Source organism: Homo sapiens, chromosome 3, assembly GCF_000001405.40.
Source record: "Homo sapiens chromosome 3, GRCh38.p14 Primary Assembly".
Taxonomy (NCBI): domain Eukaryota; kingdom Metazoa; phylum Chordata; class Mammalia; order Primates; family Hominidae; genus Homo; species Homo sapiens.
Window position 1 is genome coordinate 20,456,350 of NC_000003.12, and position 9,060 is coordinate 20,465,409.

The window sequence follows — 9,060 nt, forward strand, 5'->3', positions numbered from 1 at the left end:
CACCATAAATTGGTTTTAGTGACAATAATAATTACCGGTAAGATGAGACTAAGTATATACTTAAAGTCATTTATTCTTTGTCATTCAGTGGACCTAGTATCAGGTAGTAATTTTTGGGATTTGCATGCCAAAGCCTCAAATGTTTCAGTGTTAAGAATAAAAATAATGGTTATTATCATCATGATAGCTTAATGAATCTGCAGGATGCACAATAGAGCATTTTACAATTACAGAGGTGGTAATTTGAAGCCAGAAATATTAGTGTTGACACTTCTGCCTCTTTTAAAACATGTGGAACTTGTATAACAATTGTTTATTTGTCCTCTTTTGAACTGGCAGGTTTACAGATGACAATACATAAATATCCTTGCTTCTGTCTTAATTTGAAGACTTTCATAGAATATAGAAAACAGCTGGCATGAGGAAATACGAAATCAAGGGGAAGCAGAGGAGTCAACAGAAGTGAAAGCACTCTGCTTATTTAACAACATATGGATGACCTCCTAGTGATTCCAGGGCAAATAGATTCTACTTGTGCCATTTCAGAAAAATGGAGATTTGTCCTTATATTTTTATGTAACTTATAGAAATGGTGAGTTATAGCAGAAAGAGTATAGATTTTGGGATCAGATGGCCTTAAATTCAAAACCTGGATCTACCAGTGACTATTCATTGGCTCTTTAAATCTACTTCTTGAGTTACTGTCACCTCTATCTCCTTAGTTTCTCTTTTTTCTCTAAGTTTATTAATACTCTCAGAGTTTTCCTTCAGTTGTAGTTTAGCCAGGACCTCATGGTGGGTCACTTTAGCCACTCTTATTAACACTCTTAGCATCCTGACCTTTTTCTGTATTCAGCCTGCAAACTCTGGCCCGTTCAAACATTCACTTCTCATTCATGTGATGGTCGTTTGGAGGGAAGGACCCGAGTTCATCATACTCATGAAGCTTGATATTTCTCTGTTCTGCTCCCTAGCTTCAGTGGGGCTCCCCAGATCATGTGAAAATTCATCTAAAGCTTTGATCAGTTCCTGTTCCTGTTACCCACTGTGGGTTGCTGTTCTAAATGTTCACCACTCTTCTGAAATTCCTGTCACTACCACTTTACTCTCAGCAGATGATCTTGCCTGCAACTGTGTGGAGAGTATTGAGGTTCTCAGACAGAAACTCTTTAGTTTACCTGTGAGAACCTGAACAATTATCTATATCTGAGCACACCTCACCATTGTATCCTTCCTCAGAACAAGACGTGGGCTAAGTCCTTCTGTGATCTTGATATCATCTTTTTTCCCCCAGAATTATGTTCCCTTTTTCCCCTCTCTCTCCCACATTAACACCCTCTTACTTTTTGTTAGTATTTATTTCACAGCCAAAGACATATTCAGAGTTTTCCCATCAACTCCATATTCCACCTTTGCCAACCAGCTCGGCTGGGGAGACCCTAACCCAGCGGCGCTAGAGGAATTAAAGACACACACACAGAAATATAGAGGTGTGGAGTGGGAAATCAGGGGTCTCACAGCCTTCAGAGCTGAGAGCCTCGAACAGAGATTTACCCACGTATTTATTGACAGCAAGCCAGTGATAAGCGTTGTTTCTATAGATTATAGATTAACTAAAAGTATTCCTTATGGGAAACAAAGGGATGGGCCGAAATAAAGGGATGGGTTTGGCTAATTATCTGCAGCAGGAGCATGTCCTTAAGGCACAGATCGCTCATGCTATTGTTTGTGGCTTAAGAATGCCTTTAAGCAGTTTTCCACCCTAGGTGGGCCAGGTGTTCCTTGCCCTCATTCCAGTTAACCCACAACCTTCCAGTGTGGGCATCGTGGCCATCATGAACATGTCACAGTGCTGCAGAGATTTTGTGTATGGCCAGTTTTGGGGCCAGTTTATGGCCAGATTTTGGGGGAGCCTGTTCCCAACACACCTTAGCTGCTGTCTTGTTTCTCTCTCTTCAGTCCTTGTTAAATTTCCATAAAGCAGAGTCAGTTCCAAGGGTAGCAGTCTCAAATGTCTGTTTGAGACTAGAAAGGTAATAATGACAATGGGCAAAGAGGGCTGAGCGAAAGGTAATTGTGGGCTCACCTTTGTCTGAAACTGACAGTCTATCCTGTTCTTTGTTCTTATATGTGAATATGGGTCCAGTTTGGCCAAAACTTCTGATTTTTTTTCCAAGGAAATCAGAAAATCTGGATTTTTATTTTAAATTTCTCAATATTTAAAACACTGTGCAATCCTAATAAAGGACATATGTGGGCTGAGTTTGGATTATGGGCCTCCAGTTTTTAATTCTTGGCCTACACTAGCTATCTTGATGTCTCATGGTATTTGATCAACTTACTGCAGAAAGTTTTCTGCCTCTAACGCTCTTCTAAAACTTATTTAGACCAGTGTTTCTTAGAGGTTTCAGATTAAAGGTTTAAGATTCATGTGCCCATGAATCTTTTGGGGATCACGTTAAAACACAAGATTCAATTCTGATTCAGTAGCTCTAGGATGAGGCCTGAGTTTTGCATTCTAGCAAGCTGCAGTCCAAGGACCACACTTTGAGGAGCAAGGCTTCTGAGGACCTGCTTATCTTTAGAGATTTATCTCAAGATAAGCTGTTTAAGCCTTCTCCCTCCCCTGATACCACTAATAAAAGGGCCCTTTTTTTTTCTGTGCACCTGATGTACCCTAATCCAATCTCTATAAATATACCTATAATTATTTATTTTATGTATGTGTTTATGTGCCTGCTTATAAGTGCTTTCATGGCAAGAAACATGTCTTAACTTTTTCCCCCTCAAGCACTACTGCAATATTGGAAATAAAGTAAACTTTGTCCATCTGTTCTCATTTCATGTAATACAGTCCGTAAGACTGCGTGCATGTGTTTCTTTTTGTAGGAGTTAGGTTGCATGTGAAGGGTTCATTATGTTGAAAGAGAGGGTCTCTTTTGACAAAGACTTCTGGCTTATAACAGATTCCCAAAGAAGTATTAAGTGCCATATTTTGATAGATTTTTCTATTCCATGTTCAAATTGGTCTCATGATGTCATCTTTTCAATTTCTGTTGCCAATTTTGGGGAAAATAACTGAATTCCTTCAGTTTTAATCTTTCGAGTATGTTCAACACTTCCGTTTGCCAATACAAGGGACATCTGGAAGTTGTATGTTATCTCTTATTACAGCTTGGTAAATATCACCCAAGGCTGTTCTGCCTTAAAGGCAGCCTGACAGCTGTTTGAACAGATCTGATCTCATTTATAGGAAGGAAAGCACAGATAATGGAGGATAACTGTGCATGGTAAGGAGTGGGAAGATTACTCTATTCACAGGCATTTTTCTTTTAGTGGCAACAGGCTTAAGCTTTTCTCATCTTTCTCAAGTGGTTCCATACAGTGTAGTGAGGTCCAAAGGACTGGATTCTCTAACTCTGCCTCAGTCTTACTCATCACACCAGTCAATCCATCAATCATCGAGTATTTATGAATTACCTTGCATGTGTCAAACACTGTAACAAACACCCAAGATGGTGAGAAATGTCTTCACATAACTCCCTGCTTACTAAGCATACACGAGGGATCTTAAGGAAACCAGCACTGATCCAAGGAAAGGGGATTAACAGTTGTGGAGGATCTAATGTGTGCATGGTGATACATGGAGTTAAATATATTGACACTTTAAAACACTGACATATTGGTATCTTTAGCCTCATTCCATAGTTGAAGAAATGGAAACTCAAAGAAGTTCGTTTATTCAAGGTTCCAAGTTAGTAAGTAGTACAGCTAGAATTTCAACACAGTTCTATTTCCAGATTCTGGACATTTTCAATCACAACACCAGGCAAGGATCTTAATAAAATTTGACAAGGGCAACCCAATAAAGGTTTTGCTACCTTTCAGCTTCTTTCCGTGTTTGGTTTCCAGAGGCATCTGGGCTTAGAGGGGAACTAAGTCTCTGCTGTTTGGAGAATTTTAAATAGCTTACTCTGATGGTAGAGATAAATGTAGGAAAAATGTTTTTTGTTTTTGTTTTTTTTGTTTTTGAGACGGAGTCGCCCAGGCTGGAAGCTCTGCCTCCTGGGGTCATGCCATTCTCCTGCCTCAGCCTCCCGAGTAGCTGGGACTACAGGCGCCCGCCACCGCGCCCGGCTAATTTTTTTTGTATTTTTAGTAGAGACTGGGTTTCACCATGTTAGCCAGGATGGTCTCGATTTCCTGACCTCGTGATCTGCCCACCTCGGCCTCCCAAAGTGCTGGGATTACAGGCGTGAGCCACTGCGCCCAGCAGAAAAAATGTTAAAGATAGAATGAAGCTGGGAGATTTTAATTTTTGAAGGGTGCATAATATTCTAGCTCAGTGCTTCACAAATCTTAGTGTACATCAGAATCATCTGGAGGGCTTATTAAAATATAGTTTCCTATGCTCCACCCCCAGAATTTATCAATTAATAGATCTGGGCTAGGGTTTCAAAATGTGTATTTCTAGCAAGGTGACATTGGTGTTGCCAGACTGTGGGCCTCATTTTTACGAGCACTGGTTTTTCAAATAAATGTTCACTTATGTATTAAATCAGTTAACAATTTTTTTACGTTTTTACTTTTGTGCTAGGTATTATGTTGGATATAGTGTCTGCTCTGGAAAGTCCCTTATTGTTGGTTACTATTGTAATGTCTAATTTATCAGGAATTTAAAGATGATATAATTAATACCCTTGGAAATCACATGTCGGCATTTTTGAAAAATCCATGCCTGATATTTTTTCCCCTTCTTTGGGTAAACACCTAGATGTGAAATTGCTTCAACATAGGGTAAAATATTTTTAAGGATTTTGATATGAAGTTACCAAATTATTTTCCAGAAAGTAAATTTTCTAATTTACTGCCCAATAGCAAAGGATGAAAATGCCTGTTCTAACAAACCTGCATTGCCACAAGGTATTATAATTTCTATTTGGCTGCTTGTTTTGTCCTTGTTGATTTGTAAGTGTTTTTTAATTTATCAAAGATATTAACCCTTTAAAAAGCTTAATATTTTTTGAAAATTATATTGAAGTTTGTGCTAAATGACCATGAAAAAATTGCTTTGAGACTTCCTGTATCACAAAGGAAAGAAGATCTTGGCAGTAATGATTTGCCTTCTTTTAGAGACAAGTTACTAAATGATTTTTAAAACATGAACTCTTCAAGAATGCACTAACAAACACTAAATAGGCTTCAATAGTTGTTCTGATATTTGAGTTGCATCTTTTGTACCTGCAGTGCTTTGAATGGAAGATGTAAAACCTTAATACAGGGCAGAGTGGAATACAAATAGGATCTCACTGACAAATCTAAACACAAGAAGGGTTCTTTTCTGCTTATATTCGGTAATGCAAGCGAACTGAAAGAGACAGCGAGCGATGACACTAATACATCATTGAGCTGTTTTGTATTCATAACTTTTCAATGATAGCACCTTTCTTTAATGCAGTATTGATTCAGCCAAGAAATGTTACTCTATTACTTTCTTGGGTTGTTGAATTAGGTTAAAGGACACTGTTATGGTTTTAAACTGGAGATAGACAATTTTTATAAATTAGTATCCCTTACAATTTTCTAAAGGTCACTGACCAGAAAGTTGACAATTTTTTTTTGTTGTTAATAAAATCTTTTTTTTTTTAATTCAGAAAAAGAAAACCCCATACAAAGAAGTTTTCCAGCCATTCACCTTCCCATACCCCTCCCGACCCAGAAAGAGTATGGGTAGGAAGAGGTGTCTGTCTTGCTCTGGCCCCCATAATTAAGGGGTGTGGGGTCATGACTCCCCAAATAAAATGGGTGTGTATGGGAAAGAGGGGGTACAAATGCTGTGGGGAGTGGTGGATGAAAGCAAGAGATGAGGTCAGTGCTGGCATTATAGCAAATGAGAGAGACAGTTGGGTTAGCTGTAGAGTTAGCTGTAAAGTTTCACTGGCATTTCAGTTAGAAGCTTAATGAAGGTAGAAATGCTCAGGAATCAGAAAGCCTGTTGGTAATCATGAAATTAGCATTAGCAAGCATATGCTAATTCTGTCCATTCTTTAGTTTGACTCATTTTCTTATAGCCATGACATGTGCCAGAAGAGGCAGACCACAGAGTTCAACACTCAGCACTTCTTTATGTTCCAAGAAGCAGAGAACTGTGACTCCTCCTTTTTCCACTGAGTGTTCCTTTTTCTGGATCATATTCCCTTAGGTATCCAAGGTGAAAGAGAAGTATACACTAACGTAGTTATGAATGCTCAGAAGAAAAGTGGGCTGTTAGTGTAATAATCTTTCCTATAATGGGATTTGACCTGTAGTATATATATATATAGTCAAAGCAGTTCCAAAAATGTAATTTCTTGATGGCTAAATCACACTTCCAGACACTTCTCTTTGCTGACCATCACAATAATGGATCTGTATGTAGACTGAACCCTGTCTTTTCTAGGGCAGGCCTCTTCTTCAAGCCAAATATTGTATGCATCTATTTCCTCTTAAAAACAAGAATTACTTCCTTATTTTATGGGGAGACAATTTCCAGAGACTCAGGAAGCTTGTTGTGCAGTGATTCATTGCCATTCTGTGTTGCTGCAATAATAACTTGTGATGCTTACAAGTCATTTTCACAGCTTGACCCACCAGCATTCCCTGTGGGCTGCAAACCTTATTCTCTTTCCTCTCACTTTCTCCAGTGTCACCTTTGTCTGCCACAATGATAGGACAAGAGAGTGTAAATATGTTTCTGGAGCAATTTTCCACAAGTAGGATGGTTATCAATAGGAGGCCCCCTATATATCTATGTTTTCAGGCTCGTCAGAAAGACTTTTCTTTACCAAAATATGTCTCGATGTTTGCCATGAGGGTAACATTCCTCTGTGTTATATCTTAAAATCAGACATCTTAGAGAGATGTTTATTTATTAAAATTTTATTAGACATTTGTATCTTTATATAAAATCCATTTCTCAGAGTCTTTTCCTGAAAGGGGTTTTGGAAGGTTGAGAAGAATGTTCCAGGTGTGTGATTTGCGATAAGATGAAAGGGCTGAGGTTGGAGTTGTTAATTGTGGTGGAGTAGAATGTACTGTGACGCTTGGAGGAAAAAGTAAACTGTAGGACTTGAACACAAACTTCACATACTTTAATTTCACCTGAAATAATTCCTGAAAGGAATGACATAGATTAATAGATATGTTCAAGGCGATAGGTTAATAGCTTTGATTTTGACTCCTTGCTCTATCATCCACAAGTCTTGAGGCACATCATTGACTCTCTCAGTTGACTCATCTGACAAAATTAAATAATTTGTTTACATGACCAGCCCTTCTTCCCACTTAAAATACCCTCTTTTCTACCTGTATGCTCTTTCCAAAGAGTTTTCTAGAAGTTCTTCAACTATGGCATTTTCCCTCACTACAATCTTTAGCAGGTTTTTATTGCCTAGAGATCAGAGTCGGAACATTTTAAACATTTAGAGTCCCTCCACCCCTATTGCCCTATTGCCAGCTTTGCCACAGCCTGCCTGTTCAGGCGTGTCTCCCTTGACTTCTTTACAAAGAAACCCACATTCTCAGCTTCATTACATGGAACCACTCTGTCCTATCAATAAGCCTGTTTTCTTTTATTATTATTTATTTTTAATGTTTTTTAATTCTTAATTTTTTTACAGTACACTTTTTAAAACAAAGACATTTCCCTAAGTCTCTAAAGTATACTCTTTCTTAGTTTTTTTCTTCACCTTTTATTCTAAGTTCTGGTGTACATGTGCAGAACGTGCAGGTTTGTTACATAGGTAACTGTGTGCCATGGCGGTTTGCTGCATGGATCATCCCATCACCTAGGTATTAAGCCCAGAATCCATTAGCTATTCTCCTGATGCTCTCTCTTTCCTCCCATGCCCCCTTTGACGGGCCCCAGTGTGCGTTGTTTCCCATCATGTGTCCATGTGTTCTTATCATTCAGCTCCCACTTATAAGTGAGAAATGCAGTGTTTGGTTTTCTGTTCCTGCATTAGTTTGCTGAGGATAGTATCTTCCAACTCCATCCATGCTTCTGCAAGGGACATGATCTTGTTCCTTTTACATGGCTGCATAGTATTCCATGGTGTATATGTATCACATTTCCTTTATCCAGTCTCTCACTGATGGACATTTAGGTTGATTCCATGTCTTTGCTATTGTGAATAGTGATAAGCCTGTTTTCTAACTTTTCCTTTAGTACCCTGTCTCAGAATGCCTCCTTCCTATTTATTACAGCTTCATCTACCATTCAAGACCCCATCAGTTCCCCCTGTTATCAGAGGACTTCATCTTGAAATTATCTTTTTCCACTCTAACTCTGATTGCATTCCCACATTACACAATTAATACTTTATTGCCTTTTGTGGAGAGTTGTTTTATTATAGGTAGGCCTTAATACATCATCCAGGCTCTAGGTTTCTTAGGAGAAGGGAAATATTTTATATTTTACTATAATAACTTTATCTAACAATTGGTAGCTGATAACACTGTTTATGGGTTCCTATTGGGGATACTATTTTTAAGGCTATTTTTTAAGAGTAGTTTTAAGTTCATATCAAAATTAAAGAGAAGATGCAGCGATTTCCTGAATACCCTTTGCCACTGTCCACCCTGCATGCATAGTCTCATCCATTGTTAACATTCTCTACCAGAGGGGTATGTTTGTTATAACTGATGAAACTACATTGATATATCATCACCCAGAATCTATAGTTTACATTAGGGTTCTCTCGGTGTGTTACATTCTACGGTTTTAGACAAATATATAATTTTGTGTATCTACCAATATAGTATCACACAGAATATTTTCACTGCCCTAAAAATTCTCTGTGCTCCACCAATTCATCCTTTCCCTCACTCTAACCCTTGGCAACCACTGGTCTTTTTCTGCCCCCATAGTTTTGCCTTCTCTGCAATGTCATATAGTTGCAATAATATAATACGTAGGCTTTTTACATTGGCTTTTTTTTAAAACATACTAATATGCATTTAAAGTTCTTCAGTGTCTTTTCAAAGCTGGAGAGCTCATTTCCTTTTAGCTCTGAATGATAT

General features: G+C 38.3%; 2 annotated features.

Moving 5' to 3' along the window:
- Window positions 2,814-3,014: a silencer, noted in NCBI's record as "peak4565 fragment used in MPRA reporter construct". NCBI's record gives its function as "represses an SCP1 promoter by STARR-seq MPRAs in K562 erythroleukemia cells {active_cell/tissue: K562}" and the evidence as "EXISTENCE:reporter gene assay evidence [ECO:0000049][PMID:32103011]".
- Window positions 3,374-3,574: a silencer, noted in NCBI's record as "peak4566 fragment used in MPRA reporter construct". NCBI's record gives its function as "represses an SCP1 promoter by STARR-seq MPRAs in K562 erythroleukemia cells {active_cell/tissue: K562}" and the evidence as "EXISTENCE:reporter gene assay evidence [ECO:0000049][PMID:32103011]".